Source organism: Homo sapiens, chromosome 5, assembly GCF_000001405.40.
Source record: "Homo sapiens chromosome 5, GRCh38.p14 Primary Assembly".
Classification (NCBI taxonomy): Eukaryota; Metazoa; Chordata; class Mammalia; order Primates; family Hominidae; genus Homo; species Homo sapiens.
Window position 1 is genome coordinate 179,408,877 of NC_000005.10, and position 17,872 is coordinate 179,426,748.

The 17,872-nt window shown below is 55.4% G+C and overlaps 2 annotated features.

The window, feature by feature from the left end:
* Positions 12,272–12,773: an enhancer, noted in NCBI's record as "H3K4me1 hESC enhancer chr5:178848149-178848650 (GRCh37/hg19 assembly coordinates)". NCBI's record gives its function as "activates a minimal SCP1, AML or CMV promoter by ChIP-STARR-seq in naive H9 embryonic stem cells {active_cell/tissue: H9 hESC(naive)}" and the evidence as "EXISTENCE:reporter gene assay evidence [ECO:0000049][PMID:30033119]".
* Positions 12,774–13,273: an enhancer, noted in NCBI's record as "H3K4me1 hESC enhancer chr5:178848651-178849150 (GRCh37/hg19 assembly coordinates)". NCBI's record gives its function as "activates a minimal SCP1, AML or CMV promoter by ChIP-STARR-seq in naive H9 embryonic stem cells {active_cell/tissue: H9 hESC(naive)}" and the evidence as "EXISTENCE:reporter gene assay evidence [ECO:0000049][PMID:30033119]".

A 17,872-nucleotide genomic window follows, 5' to 3' on the forward strand; every position in this document is an offset into this window, starting at 1 on the left:
TGACGTGCGGCTGTCAGCACAGGGAGCTGCAACCGCCCGCCCCTCCGTCTGCGTGAGGGGCCCCTCGTGGCATCTTCCGAGTGCTATGGAACACCTTGCTCCCGCTCCACCCGCCCCGCCCTCCAGTGCCTTCGTATTTCTCTCATGTGCTTTTGTCTTTTTTCCTTTCCTTTTCTCCCTTACATATCCAACTGACACCTTGTCCACTTTGCTGCAATTACTAATTCATGGATTGATTAAATCATCTACTCCACAGATACTTACAGATGAGCTGCTGTGTGCAGTGTTCACGGAAGGCACTGTGGAATTGGGATCGGGCGCCTGCCCCGAAATCCCACACAAAGGGGACAGCAGGAGGAGGCCGCTCAGCTGTGGGAGTGGGACGGGGAAAGGGAGGTTTCAAGGCCAAGTGGAAGAAGTGGCGGTGGGGGAAGGTATTCCAGGTGGGCACACTGTCACCCACTCATTCACACCATCCACACTGCCCAGACACACACACACACACACACACACACACACACACACACACACACGCTGGCTGCTTCTCTGCTCTGCACCTCAGAGACCATCTATACAAACCTGATGGAAGTGTGTTTAGTATATTTCATTAAAAGATGCTTGGCCGGCCGGGCGTGGTGGCTCATGCCTGTAATCCCAGCACTTTGGGAGGCCGAGGCGGGCAGATCACGAGGTCAGGAGATCGAGACCATCCTGGCTAACATGGTGAAACCCCGTCTCTACTAAAAATACAAAAAATTAGCCGGGCGTGGTGGCGGGTGCCTGTAGTCCCAGCTATTCGGGAGGCTGAGGCAGGAGAATGGCATGAACCCAGGAGGCGGAGCTTGCAGTGAGCCGAGATCGCGCCATTGCACTCCAGCCTGGGCGACAGAGCGAGACTCCATCTCAAAAAAAAGAAAAAAAAAGATGCTTGGTCAACACTGCTTCCTTTCTTGGCCCTGCTGCCTAAGGTGGCCACGGCTCTGCTGTCTCCAGCCCCTGATGGTAACTCCCCGACCCCCTGCCTGCGGGTTGCCTCCTCCTGCCTGCAGCACTGTGAGTCATGCCTCACTCAACGCCCTCCATCTGCGCCATCTGAGTGGCCCTGTGTGTCCCGGTGGGAGGCTGACTCCTCCACATTGGCCCTCGGTGGAGGCCAGGAGGGTCTGAGGTCCTGGAAAGTCACAGAGATGGTGGAGGCAGGGTTCCAAGGTATGGTTTCCTACCTTGCTGATTCTCCCTGGGTTCTGGCTGGCCAGGCCTGGGTGGATGTCCCCTTCCAGTCCTCTTCCCAGCTTCCTGGGCCCTAATGTGGGCTGAGTGCTGGGCATCAGACCTTCTTTCTCCAACAGCCCAAGGATTAGAACATATAGCGTGGGCACCAGAGAGCAAACGGGAGGCCAGGCCCATGTTGGTGCAAAGAAAGGCTCACAGACCTGCGTCAGGCGGGCATGGGGCCCATCCCCCCACTTCCCTGTTCCCACGCCCAGAGGAGGGGCCTGGCTCATGCCTGCTCAGGGTCGGAGGGCCAGGCTGAGCCAGGGCTGCCTTTCTCTCGGCTCCGTCCCAGGTGAGGGTGCCTTCCCTGTGAGCTGATTGGAGCCAGGGAGGACCAGAGGATGGGGACACAGTCACAGCGAGGCCCTGGCTGACGCTGTTTGTTCCAGGTCGCCTTTACGGGACTTCACAGGGATTCAACAAACTGGTTGAGTATCTCCAAGAACCTGGACAAAGCCTGAGATGGGAGCCCGGGCTGGGCGGATACTCGAGGCCAGGTGTTCTGCACTGTGTAGCTGAAGGTGAAGGTGATGACCACCACAGGCCCTGGCAGGAGGTTCAGGACCAGGCAGCCAGACTCAGACCTCTGCCCAGGGCCCAGTGCTTGGCCGGGGCCTGCCCTGAGGTCACCCCTAGACGCAGCGCCAAGGGCTGAAGATGTGATGGCAGCACGCTGACCGGTGGCCCAGGCTGGGTCAGAGTTTCCGGGGCCAGCTCAGACGTTGGAGGCCTGGGGAGGCTGGCCCCAGCCCCAAAGGAGGGACTGAAATTGTTTCCATGGCAATGGAAAAAGTAACACAGAGAGGAGCAGGACACTCCGCCAGGCCTGCAATAGCCATCCTGTGCTGGGCCGGCCAGCTCCCAGCAATTACAGGCCCAGGACGGGAGGCAGATCCCATCGCAGCTTCGTCACCCCTCCTGGGATGCTGGCAGCCTGACAGCTTCCCCCCAGCCCTGCGCCTGGAGGCTGGGACAGACAGGCCACGGGCAAGAGAGCCAGCAGGAGCCTGGCTTCCAGTCTGACAGCTGCCCCCAGGGTCTCCATGAACTTCCCAAGTGATCGCTGTCCCCAGACTCAGTTCCCTCATCTGTAAAGTGTGGGCATTCATGCCCCCAGCTGTGTGAGCACGGGTGGAAGCATGAGGAGGCTCTGTCCCCATTCACTAGTGTTGTCAGAAGCCGCTGCAGCCCCCACAGCTATTGCCTGGCACCGCTCTGCGGCCTCGGCCTGAGGGATGACTCTGAAACCCAGGGGGTCCCTACCCCAAGGAGCAGGCAGGAGGGCCAGCTCTGGGAGGGCAGGCAGGCTGGGACCCAACTGAGGGTGGGGTCCTCAGTTTCAGAGAGCAGAGCCATAGGACACAGCCACCCTCCAGATCCCAAATCCCAGCCACAGCCTCGGCCTGAACTTGACATAAAATAGCCCTGAGTTCCAAAGGCGTAAACCACAGCAGTTGGGGCCTAAACCCCACTTGTGAAGTCAGGGAGGAAAAAATAATTGCAGTGTAGAGCCGCAGGTGGGCGAAGCAGCAAGTGAACCCGGGATGGGGAGGAGTCAGCCTCTAGAGCCCCCTGTGACCTGCACGGTGGAGGCTCCAAACGAGGGGCCCATGTCAAGCATCGTGGCTTGAGTCCACACAGCTTGAGGAACCCTCACCAGCCATGGCTCCCTTCACTCACTCCACTCCAGCCTCCTCCTGCTCCGCCAGCACGCCACCCTCCCCTCCACCGACCTTCCACCCTCCCCACCACCGGCCTTCCTCCCTCCCCCACAACCGGCCTTCCACCCTCCCCCCCCACCGGCCTTCCACCATCCCCCGCACTGGCCTTCCACCATCCCCCCTACCGGCCTTCCACCCTCCCCCCCACCGGCCTTCCACCCTCCCCTCCACCGACCTTCCACCCTCCCCCCTACCGGCCTTCCTCCCTCCCCCACAACCGGCCTTCCACCCTCCCCTCCACCGACCTTCCACCCTCCCCCACAACCGGCCTTCCACCCTCCCCCCCCACCGGCCTTCCACCATCCCCCGCACTGGCCTTCCACCATCCCCCCTACCGGCCTTCCACCCTCCCCCAACCGACCTTCCACCCTCCCCCCCACCGACCTTCCACCCTCCCCTCCACCGACCTTCCACCCTCCCCCCCACCGACCTTCCACCCTCCCCCCCACCGACCTTCCACCTTTCCCCCACCGACCTTCCACCCTCCCCCCAATGACCTTCCACCCTCCCCCCCAATGACCTTCCTCCCTCCCCCACCACCGGCCTTCCTCCCTCCCCCAACCGACCTTCCACCCTCCCCCCCACCGACCTTCCTCCCTCCCCCCCCACCGGCCTTCCACCATCCCCCGCACTGGCCTTCCACCATCCCCCCTACCGGCCTTCCACCATCCCCCCTACCGGCCTTCCACCCTCCCCCAACCGACCTTCCACCCTCCCCCCCACCGACCTTCCACCCTCCCCTCCACCGACCTTCCTCCCTCCCCCACCACCGGCCTTCCTCCCTCCCCCACAACCGGCCTTCCACCCTCCCCCCCCACCAGCCTTCCACCATCCCCCGCACTGGCCTTCCACCATCCCCCTACCGGCCTTCCACCCTCCCCCCCCACCGGCCTTCCACCATCCCCCGCACTGGCCTTCCACCATCCCCCTACCGGCCTTCCACCATCCCCCTACCGGCCTTCCACCCTCCCCCCCACCGACCTTCCACCCTCCCCCCCACCGACCTTCCACCCTCCCCCCAATGACCTTCCACCCTCCCCCCCAACGACCTTCCACCCTCCCCCCCGACCTTCCACTCTCCCCCTCACCGACCTTCCACCCTCCCCCCACCGACCTTCCAGCCTCCCCCCACCGACCTTCCGCCCTCCCCCAGCACGGCCATGCTGGGACTCCCGTCCCGTCCCTCTTCAGAGCAGCTATGAGACGCACAGCCCCGTGCTGTCTGCCTGTCATGGTTTGAGCTTTGGAAGGAAGGAACTGCATTCACACTCCTCAGTCTATGCCTGCGTCCCACGAGGGCCCCCAAGATCCCTGCCTTGTTCTATTGAGTTCACCGGCCCCTTTCCCCTACACTCCAGCTCCTGCTGAGCAAGCCTTCCATGCACGGCCAACACTCCATACCTTTGCCACGTCTTTGCCTTGTGTTCGCCCTTGTGAAATGGGGGCTACTTCTAGGTGGACCCCTCGTTCCCACACAGTGTGGAATAGCCCTTGCCGAGTGAGGGCCCAGCCATGTCACTGTGAATTTCTGAGATTGCTGCTTCTCACGGCAGCAGAGCTCAGGGTGTCCCCAACACCACCCCCACAAAAGGTGCCCAAACAAGCTATGGACAAACTGCACTGGGAGTGGCATGGCTGGGCTCTGCAGGGATACTAGCTGGGCTCTGTCTGACTGGCAGGTCCCTTTTGCTCTCGGAAGGGCTGTGCCCATCTCCATCCCTCAGCACAGCCACCAGGTGCCTGTCCCCACATCCTCACTCTGTGGCTTTCAGTGTTGACTATCTGGTGGGCCAGACAGTGCCTGCTCTCCCCACTGGACAGCAGCTCCCTGAGGGCAGGATCCTGCCCATCCGAGAGTCTGTCACAGCCGCACTCCCAGCAGGGCACAGCACCCGGGAGCCGGCCACAGGCTGTCCACGCTTCTTATGCACTCTCCTCAGAGCAGCACCCCCTGGCAGCAAGGTCCCCTGCCCGCTCCCCACACTCTGCCCAGCTCCCAGGTTAGTCTTTGGCAGTTCCAGGTACACAGTGCTTCTCAGGGCCCCCCCCAGAGCAGCCTCCCCACCTGCCTGCCAGCCTCCCTCGGACAATCATCTTGTCACTGTCCCCCTGGGAAGGTCAGCTCCAGGGAGGCAGGGCTGTGTCCATGCTGTGGGCCACCACATCCTGTGCCTGGCACAGAGAAGGCCAGGCCTGGGGCTCTCGGGGCAGCAGCAGCATCCAGGGAAGGAAGGGAGGAGGCTATGAAGGGAAGTGCCTTCAAAGGGAACAGAAGCCCATCCAAGCAGCGCTGTCCTGGCTGCGGGGGCCAGAGCAAGACAGGGTGGGACGCAGGGCGCAGGAATGTGAGCTGCTGTGGGAGGCAGCCCCAAGACATCTACAGCCATGTTCCCTTGCAAAACCCTTTCTGAAACGGGGTAAAGTGATGGTGGAAATGCAGGCACATCTCCACACCACAGGAAGGTCACGGGCAGCCCCTGCCACCACCTCACTCTGCACATGGCAGCCCTGCCTCCAGAGCACACAGACTACCATGGTGTGGTCCCAAGTACAGGACCACCCTCAGGCACAGCCCAGGGTCTCTGTCCTTGCCCCTGCTGTCGGGCCACAGGCAGGAGACCCTCCCGATAAAACTCAACTTCAGATGTGCATGAGATTCCGGAGCACCTTTCCCAGGGAGCTGCTTGGCACTGGCCTCATCAGGGGCGGCCAGCTCTGGAAGCACATGGGGCCCCCTCAGCTGGGCTCAGCCCCACCCACCCCAGCCACGGTCAGTGACCCACAGTGACTTCAGAGTTAATGGGGCCGAGGGACCTTTGACAGATGAGTTACACTTTGATTTGTATCCATTAAGCCACAGTTATTAATTTCATCACATCAGAACAAGAAATGTCAGCCTCAGTGACGTGGACCATTCCTGTTTCTACAGAGCTCAGTGACACATGTGTCACACAGGGTTGAGATTCATTTGTGGAGGAGGAACTAAGGCAGGCCACTTGGCTCCAGGCACAGGGCCTCTTCCATGCCATGGATGCAGCCCCCATCTGTCCACAGAACCCTCTGAGGAAGGCAGATGAGCTAGAGCCGTGACAGCTCCCCTCCCCTGCCATCCCCCCACCCCATGATGACTTCTCTAAGCCTCATCCTGAGTGGGGTGCCCCTCCAGCTGCCACCAGTGCAGCACTGCACCCCTGTTCCCCTGTAACTGGAGTCAGACCAAAGACACTGACCAGAGGCGAGAGCTGGAGAAGAGCCCAGATCTCACCGGCTCTGCTGCCAGGAGACCCCACCCAAGGGAACACCCAGTGTGGGGTCACTTGGGCCTCACAGGAAGCTGGGTCTGCTCTGCCAGCACTGCAAGGTGGCCCCCCAAGGATACAGCCCCCCATCTTACCCCCCTCTATGCTCCAGATGAAGGTAGGAATCATATTTATCATTCTTAACAGGACCCCAGAATTTCAAGTTGGGGCCTCTTGGTGCTGCTCAGCTCAGTCAGAACATCTCAGACCTCTGACCAGATGGATTGGTCCAGGGGCAGGCATATGACCCAAGTCAGGCCAATGAGAATGACGAGGTGTCTGCAGGGATTGTGCGAGAAATGCCTCCCTATTCCCCAGGAGCTTCTGGAGGTGGGGTGGGACGGCAGTTTTCACTGAATGAGGAAGGGCGTGATTGCAGTCGCTGCTGGCAGCCACTCTGCTACCAAGAGTAGAGCCAGCCTTAGGATGAAGCTGGCACCATTGGAGGTGAAAAGCAGACAGCCAGAAGGGATCTGTGTTTTTCATGACACCATTGAGCTGCTCGATCAAGCCTCTCCTGAAGTCCACATACCCTGTATGAAACTTTAATTCGATGACTCTATAAATCATCTTCAAGTACAGCTGGATTTACGGGCTCAAAACAACACCTCCAGTCCCTAGGTATTCTCTGTTTCTCCAGTCTATTCCGGATGGTTTTGCTTTCAGCCTCCTCATGGTGGCAACGTGGCTGCCACCACATTGTTCCAGGCCTTGTTCTTCCCAGAAGTTCCCACACCAGCCCCAGGACTCAGTAGAATTGAATCAGCTTGATGTTCGGACCTACCATGAGCCAGTGGAGAGGGGCTGGAGCCCCACAGAGACCACAGGGTCTGCAAAGAGAGGTGGGATGGAGGCTGCATCCCAAGGGCTCTTGGGCACTGTTCCTAGGAGAAGAGGGGATGGCTGACCAACAGGCAAAGCCCATAGCCCCGGCCCCAACAGTGCCCTCCCTCCAGCCCCAGGAGGGCAGCCCCACCCCACACTGCCGCCCTGCCTCCCTCCTCAGTGCCCACCCTAAGGAGCGTCCACAGGGTCACAGCCTGCCTGCCACACCGCCGCAACCAGCATCTCCCACAGCCGCCCTGAAAACCACTCGTCACCAGGACAGCACCACCTCGGAGACAGTGTCAAACCTCACACCCCAGCCAGCCAGGGCTCTCTCAGCCCACGCCCCTCCCCACACCCAGATCTTGTCCACACCTGCCCCCACCTCTCTTCCTTCCCTACTCAGCCTGGAACCAGAGGTCCAGCTGCCCACCTGCTCTCCCGCCAGGACGTCTGCAACCCTGCCAGGCAAGCGCAGCAAAGCCTTGCTCCCAAGGGGTGAAAATGGGCCTTTTCTCAAATAACCAGGGGACTGACGTGGCTCCCCTACGAAAATCCAGGATCCTCAGTGGCAATGGCGTCCTCAGCAGCACTGACACCGGCTCCTGGCCCCGCCGTCATATTCCATATACCCTCGCCACACGCCACAAGGGGCCTGGCAGACCCTCCTGCTTCACTCAGCCTGAGGAGTCTCCTCTCCACTGCCCCCTCCCAGAGCCTCCCCACAGGCTCGGAGGGCCCTGCTCTACTCGGGACCCATGCCCCTGTCCACCCAGGTAAGGGTTAATAAGATTAGCTGTCACTGAGATGAGATGTTTACCCACCTCCAGACTCCGGATGAAGATAGAAATGGTATTTATGATTTCTACCCAACGTTTCTGGAAAGGATTTAAGGTGCTTACGAGAACACACACATATAACAGGATTGCATAAATTAAATGTGGGAGCCAAAAAAGACAGGAAAACGGGGATGGGGACATAACATCGAGCAGGGGAGGAGGCTATTGTGGAAACAAAGGCCATGTGAGCTATGGGCTTGCCTGGGTGGTCGCAGCGTGCCCCATGGCTCTCCAGCAGCTGGCCTGAAAGAGCAAACCAGGGGCTGGAAGCGGCAGGGCCGGTAACATTAAAATGCACACACAATTACCCGGGAGACACCCCAGCAGCAACAGGAATGTCTCCCAAGGGAGCAGACAGCAAGGACGGTTAGGAAGGAGGGGGTTGACGGGCTTCCTTCCGGGGCTGTGGGCTTGGAAGCTGGGATGCTGGGCAAGAGGCGGGGAATGAGATGGTTCTGGCCACCCTGCTGCCTGCACTGGGGCAGTGAGGAAACCCCACAACTGCTGTGCCCTGCTGGGCAGGTGCTGGCCTGTGATGCTGGGCTCTCTATGGGCGCAAAGGGTCCAGCCCAGGCAGCACCTGGGCCCCACCAGCCTCTCCTGCACCTGCTCAGTCCTGCCATGGCACCTGCCCTCTGTCCTGGGTCACTCCTGATGGCTGGGTCAGAGCACTCACTGGCCCTCTTCAGGGCATCCCGGGACCCAGGAAATCCCTTCTGCTCCTGCTTTGGGCCCCAACTCATTCCCCTTTCGTATCTTTAGTGCACAAGCATTTACTAAGCACCTGCAGGATGCAGCCAGGGGATGTGAAGGTTATAGAGGAAAGGAGAGAAAAGTTTCAACTAAAGCTGCCTGCAGCCACTTCAGTCTTTTGGGAAGTGGCACAGGGTCAAGAGGGTGCCCAGGTCTCATGGCTCAAACCTCAGGAAGGTGCCCAGAGGACAGGGCCAATGGCATGCCCCAGGGGCACAGTGGTGGAGAGGGTCAGGGCAGAGGCCAGCAGCACGGGTGGCATGGGCAACAGGCAAAGTTCTGGGAGCCTTGTGTAGGTCTCCCAGAAGCAGCTGGGTGACCACGGGACAGGTGAGACCCTCGGGCTGCCATGGGCTCAGGGAGGGGAGGCAGGACCCAAGGCCACGTGGGCCTTAATGCCAAGTGAATTCATTGGTACCCGAGGCCCACAAAGCCCTGGGCAGTCCTGCCATAGATGAACAATTCTACTTGCATGGCACCTGTTACATCTTTCTCTGGTTGCAAATGTAATGTGCCCTCAGCATCAGCAACAACAACAACTTTAAAAATGCAAAGGGAAAACACAAAAAACAGCCACAATTCCACCATGTGTTGTGTTGGGGGTGGCTCTCAGTTTGGTGTATGACCTGCTAGTCTTTCTTTGTTAATACGTAGTCCGGTGCAGTGGCTCACGCCTGTAATCCCAACACTTTGGGAGGCAGAGGTGGGCGGATCACCTGAGGTCAGGAGTTCACAACCAGCCTGACCAACATGGCAAAACCTCATCTCTACTAAAAAATACAAAAAAATTTACACCTGTAATCCCAGCACTTTGGGAGGCCAAGGTGGGTGGATCACAAGGTCAGGAGATTGAGACCATCCTGGCTAACATGGTGAAACCCCATCTCTACTAAAAATACAAAGAAGTAGCTGGGCATGGTGGTGGGTGCCTATAGTCCCAGCTACTGGGGAGGCTGAGGCAGGAGAATGGCGTGAACCCGGGAGGCGGAGCTTGCAGTGAGCCGAGATCGCGCCACTGCACTCCAGCCTGGGCAACAGAGAGAGACTCCATCTCAATAATAATAATAATAATTAGCCAGGTGTGGTGGCAGGTGCCCATAATCCCAGCTACTCGGGAGGCTGAGGTAGGAGAATCACTTGAACTCGGGAGGCGGAGGTTGAAGTGAGCCAAGATCGCGCCACTGCACTCCAGCCTGGGCAACAGAGTAAGACTCTGTCTCAAAACAAACAAACAAACAAAAGCATGTATTTTGGAAAACTGCGTGGCAAAACCTCTGTGGCCAAAATAAGAATTAAAAAAAGACAAACTGGGGAAAATATTTAGATCTGATATCACTGACAAAGACACTAGAAACAGACCCTGGAAGTCACAGGAAAAAGACACAATTTAAATGTGCAACAGCAGTGACACATAAGCGGGGATGAGGGTGTTCCACGGTCTCTGTGTCATCTGGGAGGAAGATGAGGGTGTTGGTCGACACCAACTTTGCTGAGTTAAGGACAAGTGTGTGATTTCCAGGATGACTCCTCAGTGGGATTTACAGAATTCAGGACAGTGTCTGCCTGTGGGGAGGAGGAAATCACGACACAGAGGGCTCGCGCAGTGGAGCGGGTCCGGGTGCTGGGCGTGCTTCTGTTCCTGCCCTGCCTGCTGGTTTATCTCAGTCTCATTGAGGACATTCATCGCACTGTGCAAATGCCTCATACGCCCTGCTCATCCCATGTGCTAAGTCACAAGTTTTTTAAAGAATATTAAAAGGTGCTCAATGCCATTCATAATAAGATAGAAAATTTCAACTCTTTTTCCAAGATCAAAAATGTCAGAGCTCACTGTGTTGGTAAAGGCGTGGAGAAACGGGCTGTCCACGCGCTCCTACTGGAGTGTGATTGGTGTGTCTGCCGTGGAGGGTGCTTTGGTGATTTCAACCCAAATTTCTGGATACAAAGCTTCACACATTTCTAGAACTTTATCTACAAATATCATCACACACACAGGTGCCAAATTAACTGTGCAAAACCTTCATCGAAAAGGAGGGGAAACAGCCTGAGCGTCCTTCGTTAGGTCAATAACGGTACTTCCTACAGCGGGGTATTGCAGAGCCATGAAAACGAGGCTCTCAGACCCCTGTGCAATCAGAGCCAAGACACATCGAGTGAAAAGCAGGACGCAGAGCAGTGTCCGCGGGAGCAGTTGCAGGGAGGCATTACATGCACGTGTTTGTCTGGATAATCATACAACTTCTCAAAGAAAACAACCGTGGGAGACCCCACAAGAAATAAATAACTGGCTCTGAGGGGCTGGAAGACACAGTTAGAAATCGTAGTTATTGCTGTATAATACCCTTTTGTGTTTTTTGAACTTTAAAACAGAAAGCACATATTCAAAAATATTCACAAAAAAATCATAGTGGGGCTGGGTGCAGTGGCTCACGCCTGTAATCCTAGCACGTTGGGAGGCTGAGGCAGATGGATTGCCTAAGCTCAAGAGTTCGAGACCAGCCTGGGCAACATGGTGAAACCCCATCTCTACTAAAATACAAAAATTTAGCCAGGCGTGGTGGCATGTGCCTGTAATCCCAGCTACTCTGGAGGCTGAGGCAGGAGAACTGCTTGAACCCAGGAGGCAGAGGTTGCAGTGAGCCGAGATCGTACAATTGCACTCCAGCCTGGGTGACAGAGCGAGACTCCATCTCAAAAAAAAAAAAAAAAAAAAAAATATATATATATATAGTGGGACTGGGGAATCACAGAACCTTGCCTCAGCCCTGCCACCTTGCTGCCCATGAGGCTTTCAGGGAGGCTGTGGGAAGGGAGGGGGACAATGTCAAAGGCACATGGAAGCTCCCCTTTTATTATTAGCTGGGTGTGTGCCCAGCTCCTCCCAAACAGAACAGGGCTGGGACTCGAGGTGGAGGCTGAGGCTTAACCCCCTCCCTGGTGCCATTGTCCTGCAGACAGCCAGAGGGAGGAGGCACCAGCCCAAGGGAGGAGGTATTAGCCCTCCAGAGTTTCGAGGACATGAGGCACGAGAGAGCTCGGTGGCATGACAGTCCAAGAGGCAGGCCTGGCCTCCTGCAAACCTGTAGCCAGGAGGTTCACCCATCCAGAGCCACCCAGGAAGGAGGCCGCCACATCCAGAGACAGGACCTGCAGCACCGTGTCCTGTGGGTGGGAGGGGGAAGGCCCACCACACACATACCTACTTTCACTGACATTCAGATGAGCAAAGCTTGGCTCGTTCTGTTCACGCTGTTTTATAGCCTGCTTTTCCCACTTACTAGCTTATCGGGAACATTTTCACATGTCAATAGCTTTTGCTCCTTGACTGCATGGTTTTTAATGACCAAAGATTTTGCTCAACCGATTCACTGTTGTTATACGTTGAGAGTTTTCATTGTCATGAACAATGCTTTGATGAAAATCAGTAGAGCTAAATTTTGGTGGCCAGCTTTAATTCTATCCTTAGAATAATATCCTAGAAGTAGCCCTCTGGATAAAGCACAGGTACTTTATAGCTTAGTATGCAGGTCACCGCATGGCCTTAAAAAATATTTGACCCAGTTTACACTGGCCAGAGGGTCAGCCTTCCAACTCCCTTCCAAACCTAGATAGCGATGTAATTTTATCTTTACCTACTTAACAATATGGAGGGGCCTGGGGGAGTGGCTTGCTATTGCTTGAATTTGCATCCTTTGATGACTAATTGGGTTGAGGCTTTTTCATGTGTTTGTTTCCCCAATTACTCATCTAACCCAAAACGCCTGTTTGTATACCTGCACACACCCAGCACCCTCCTGCACTCGCTCTTGGCTCAGGCCTGAAGATCGCTCTTTATATACCCACAGCTGTCAAAACTTACCATCCTTCAAGGTCAAATGGCCCGCTCTGACCTTCCCTCCAGGCAGTCATTCCGGACTTCCCGCAGCTCTTGGCTTGAGGCACTTGCCACTTTGGTCCTGGTTCAACACTCAGGTCTGCATGGCTGTGCCCCCGCTGTCTGCACCAGCTGTTCGCTTTACTCCGCAGGACCACGGCTTGGCCACTGCCCCCATCTAAAGACCCCATGTCAACAACGTTCCCTGGGCACCTACTATCCAGTGAGGGCTCCAGGGCACCAGGGACGAATTGGACTGTACCCCTGCCCACACGCCCCTTGGAGCTGTAGCACCAAGGACAGCCACCTCCCATGAGCCAGCTGTACTGAGCCCAGGACTGTCTGACCAGAGACCTGGGCTCGTGCCTCCTGCTGCTGTCAGCTCTCCTGGGGAAACCCAGCCTCTGGGACCAAGCAGCATCTTCCCCTGGGCTGCAAGAGAAGGTAGAACTCCCACTAGGGATTCTTCTCTGTAAGAAGCAGAGCCTGCGTGGGGAGGAGAGTGAAGCCCTGGAGAAGTCCAACAAGGGGGAAGGCAGATTCACGGGGATTTAAGTGAGTGGGAATGTTGGATTCTAATAGTGTCTGACCATGTTCAGTGACTGGCCAGCTTGGCTATCTCATGCCATGCTCTCTGGCAACTTGTGTTTTGGCAACTCTCAACCATGTGCCCATGAGAGCATGGTCCCCAAAGAGGGGATGGAGACCCCAGCAGCACTGAGAGCTGAGGTGGGGGAAACCATGGTTCTCCAGAGATGCCACTGCTGCCACAAGTGAGGGGCACGTATGCATGAGAGGCCCCCATGAGAGGAGGCAGAATGAGCTTGGGGCTTTCCTGCAACCCTGCTCAGCCCTGCTGGGCATGATTTGGCGCCCTTGAGCTTGTGGCAGCACCTTCCCTGGCAGCACCTTCCCAGGCTAGAGGTCCCAAGACACTGGGCAGCGCCAGGTCCCAGTGGCCTCTGAGACCCCAAGCCCAGCCCCAGCCTCTCCCAACACCCAAGGATGCCCCTGGTGTCATCACAAAGGTGACTCCAGAGTCGGAGTGGCCTTGGCTCCCAGCACTAGAGGAGATGACAAATTTCCGTTTTTCCTGCGGAAAACATGATCCATCCTTTCATGGGTCCCTGGGGGCCAGCAGTGCGGCACATGCCTTATGGAAGCTTTTGCCTGGGCTCATCTCCTTTCTCTACAGGCTGGCTCTGTGCCAACTCTTCTTTAAGCCCTTGAGAGACTGAGAGCATTTCATTGCCAAGGGGAAAACTCAGGGATGTTCCTGAAAAACATATTTTTCTATCAATGGCTGCTGTCCTGGTTTCTGGGCATTAATTTCTTAATTTGAGCAAGAATAAGCTCCTCCCTGCCAGGCACTGGGAGCCATGTGACAGCCACAGATATGTCCTCATGGGCCGTGGTGGTGCCGCACACCTGGAAGATCCGTGGGCCCCCAGGCCAGACCTGTGAGTCCAGAGGGTCTTCCCCGAGGACACCATGCAGATGCTGAGACCTGAAGGCTGAGGGGCTGCTGGTCAGACAATGGGCAGGGAGGAAGCCTCCTCGAGGATGGGCGGGGTGAAGGCATTGATGGGGGTGCTGATGAGGTCACCTGAGGCGGGGCCACAAAGGACCCAGGATGCCAGGCCACTGGGTCTGAATGTCATCCTGACAGCTACAGGAGACCGTGAGGGAGCACTGGTCAGGGAAGTGACATCAACAGCTCTGCATTCTGGAAGGATCATGCTGGCAGCCTGCAGGAGTCTCCTCAGCAGGAAGGAGCATTACAGCAATCCAGAGTGGCCAGGTCGGTGAAGGGCTGTGCAGATTTACATACAACATGCATTTGAGAGATGGAGTCGAGAGGACCGAGCAGTGGAATGAGCAGCTGACTGGTGGGCCAGGAGCGGGCAGCTGTCAGTGGGCACCCCACTGTGAGCACCTTGGACAGAGGGGCCGCTGGGGGAGATGAAAGGGGGGCATTGAGCATGTATGTGCACGTTGAGTCTTAGGTGCCTGCAGAATGCAGAGATGTCCAACAGGCAAGCTGAGGTCATTGGAGCAGAAGATGCATCTCAGGCCTGGCACTTAGCTACAGCTGGGCAGAGACACAGACCTGCCCACAGTGCAGAAGCAGACAATTGCCTATTACCCACATGGATACAGGACAGTGACCTCCAGAAAAACGGCTCCTAGTTTGAGGGCTGCTGGGGGTGTAGGGGAGAGAGTCTCCAGAACAGAGGAGCAGCAGAGTGTGAATTAAGTTTAACTGAAAGCTGTCTCCTTGTATATTTTAACTTTGGCCTAAAAGTTCCTCCATACAGCCAGGCGTGGTGGCTCATGCCTGTAATCCTGACACTTTGGAAAGCCAAGGTGGGTGGATCACCTGAGGTCAGGAGTTTGAAACCAGCCTGGTCAACACAGTAAAACCCTGTCTCTACTAAAAAATACAAAAATTAGCCAGGCATGGCCCGACGTGGTGGCTCACGCCTGTAATCCCAGCACTTTGGGAGGCCGAGGTGGGCAGATCACAAGGTCAGGAGATCGAGACCATCCTGTCTAACACGGTGAAACCCTGTCTTCAATAAAAATACAAAAAATTAGCCAGGCGTGGTGGCGGGCACCTGTAGTCCCAGCTACTCGGGAGGCTGAGGCAGGAGAAAGGCGTGAACCCGGGAGGCGGAGCTTGCAGTGAGCCAAGATCGCACCACTGCACTCCAGCCTGGGCGACAGAGGGAGAATCTGTCTCAAAAAAAAAAAAAAAAATTAGCCAAGCCTGGTGGCAGGCGCCTGTAATCCCAGCTATTCAGGAGGCTGAGGCAGAAGAATCGCTTGAATCCCGGAGGCGGAGGTTGCAGGGAGCTGAGATTGCACCATTGCACTCCAGCCTGGGCAACAGGAGCAAAACTCCGTCTCAAAAAAAAAATACCAAGTTCCGCCATACATAGTGAACTGTCCCCAAACTGGGTGTGGGACAGACTGTAACCTACTCTTGTACCAATCCCTGAGCTGCAGCCTAAGGCAGACAACCGTTCAAACCCTGTTCAAATAAGGCAAACGTCAAGTTGTAAGGAATCCAGCTGCTTCTGTACCTCACTTCTCTTTTCTGTGCATCACGTTCCTACTTCTGTTCATAAATCTCCAGTGAAGTGGCAGAGCTGGAGCCACTCTGAACTTACTCTGATTGGGGGCCGCCCAATCCGAAAATCGTTCTTTGCTCAGTTAAACTCTGCTAAATTTAATTTGTGTAAGTTTGTCTTTTAAGAAGGCATAGAGGTCTCTCGGAGAGGCTGCCGGTGCATCTGCCCACCCAAGGAGAGCTGGGGTGGGATGGAGAGGAAGAGAGCACAGCTGGAGAGGGCGGGGCCAGCTCGCATCTTATATCAGGAACACCTGTGTCCAAAAGTGTTATTTTCCTTCCTTATCCAATACTGAACACACAGTAGCTTAGAAATATTGCACACCTGCCAATTAAAGGCAACCTCCATCATTGAATGTTCACCTGGAGGACGAGGTCAGGCAAGGACAGTCCAGGGAAATGAGGAAGGGGGAAATCTTACACGTAAACAATCTGTAGTTTGCAAGTGCTGATTTTCAAAGTACCCAAAACACTTGGGAGAAGCAATGGAAGGAATCCACCCTATCAGATATTAAAACGTTATACAACCTTAATATCAAGACAGAGTGTCACCACGCAGAGACAATCCACAGACCAACAGGGATGACAGAGATCCGCATACATGCAGGAAGTTAGTCAATGATAAATGCAGCATCTCAACCAGTGAAGTAAAGATGAATGTGTTAATAAATGATGTCAGGATAAATTGGCAGCTTTCTGGGAAAAGATCAGGTAAGATCCATACTTCACACCATACATCCGGATAATTTCTAAATGGAGCAAAAGTTTAAATGTATAAATGAAACCATGAATGTACGGGAAAAAATATGGGTGGATTCCTTTACAAGGTGAAGGAAGGAAGACTTTTTGCAATATAGCTCAAAATGTAGCCACCATAAAAGATTGATAGACTACACAAAAATTGGAAACTTCTGCAGGGCAAAAGCCACGGTAAGCAAAGTCAAATGACAACTGAGAAAAAAAAAATATTTGCAACCCAGATCACTGTCAGAGGGATAAATCTCTAATATGTAAAAAGCTCTTAGAATCTAATAAGAAAAACGTCAATGACTCAATAGGAAAAAATGAATACATAGTGAAATACAAATGGCCTCAGACATAAGCAAAGATACCCAATTCACTCAAAAGAGTGATTAGCCCCGCAGTGGCTCCTCACTGTGAGCTTGGCAGAAATGCAAACCTGACAGCACCCTTGGGAGGTGAAACTTTGTGGGGAGAGCAGCATCCAAGTGGCAGGCACTTTGGTAATGACTATCAAAAAGCTGTGCGTGCATTTACCCTTTGACCCAGCAATTCCCTTCTGGAAATGAATCCTTTGGATATACCTCCATGAGTAAGAGCAATAGTTTGGAAACTAAGTGAAGCCACAGGAGACTTATTTTCACAACAAATGTATATGGAACAGCATGCATGGAAAGATCTGGAAACCCATTAGCCATCTTCCCATTGCCTATCCAGATTCCAGATCGTCCCCCCTGTTCACGACCCCTGGAGGCTGTGGTAGGACTGTGACAATGGGCCCCTTGCCCTCTGACTTCCAGCTGGGCTCAGCCAGTGGGGAGAGAGGCAGTAGAGTTCATTCCCTCCCTGCAAGAGCCCTTCAGGCTGGCTGCATCCTAGACCGAAGGTCACAATTCCTGCCAGGCCTAAGGTGATAAGGACAAGAGTCTTGTGCTACTCACACCCTATAAAGAGTCTTCTAGAAAATGCTCCTCGAATTGCCCAATTTGGGTGAGCCGTCTGTTTCCTAGTGGGCCCCTGGCTGATGCCACGGCCATTTATAAAAGGATGAGCACACACTCCAGGCATCAATCTGGAAAGATTTCCAGGTACATTCTTGAGTACGAGTATATAGTAGTTACCTTTATGGGAGCAAGGTGGAGGGAGAGGGAGAGCAGGTAGCTGCATCTGCTTGTATTTGCATAAAGAAGTGCAGGAAGGACCCACAGGAGGGTGATAAGGTGATTGTCAGTCATCGGGGGCTCGGTGGGGGATGGGGCAGGTGAAGAGGGCATGCAGGACTTTTCTCTCTGTGTTTTATTTGCAAGCCTCCTCCTTTCCCCCGCTCAGCTTCATGGAACTCAGGAAACAACTTAATAGACTTGGGGCTCCGTGAGCGCCAGTCCTTCCCGGGCACCTAACCTGGAGCGAGG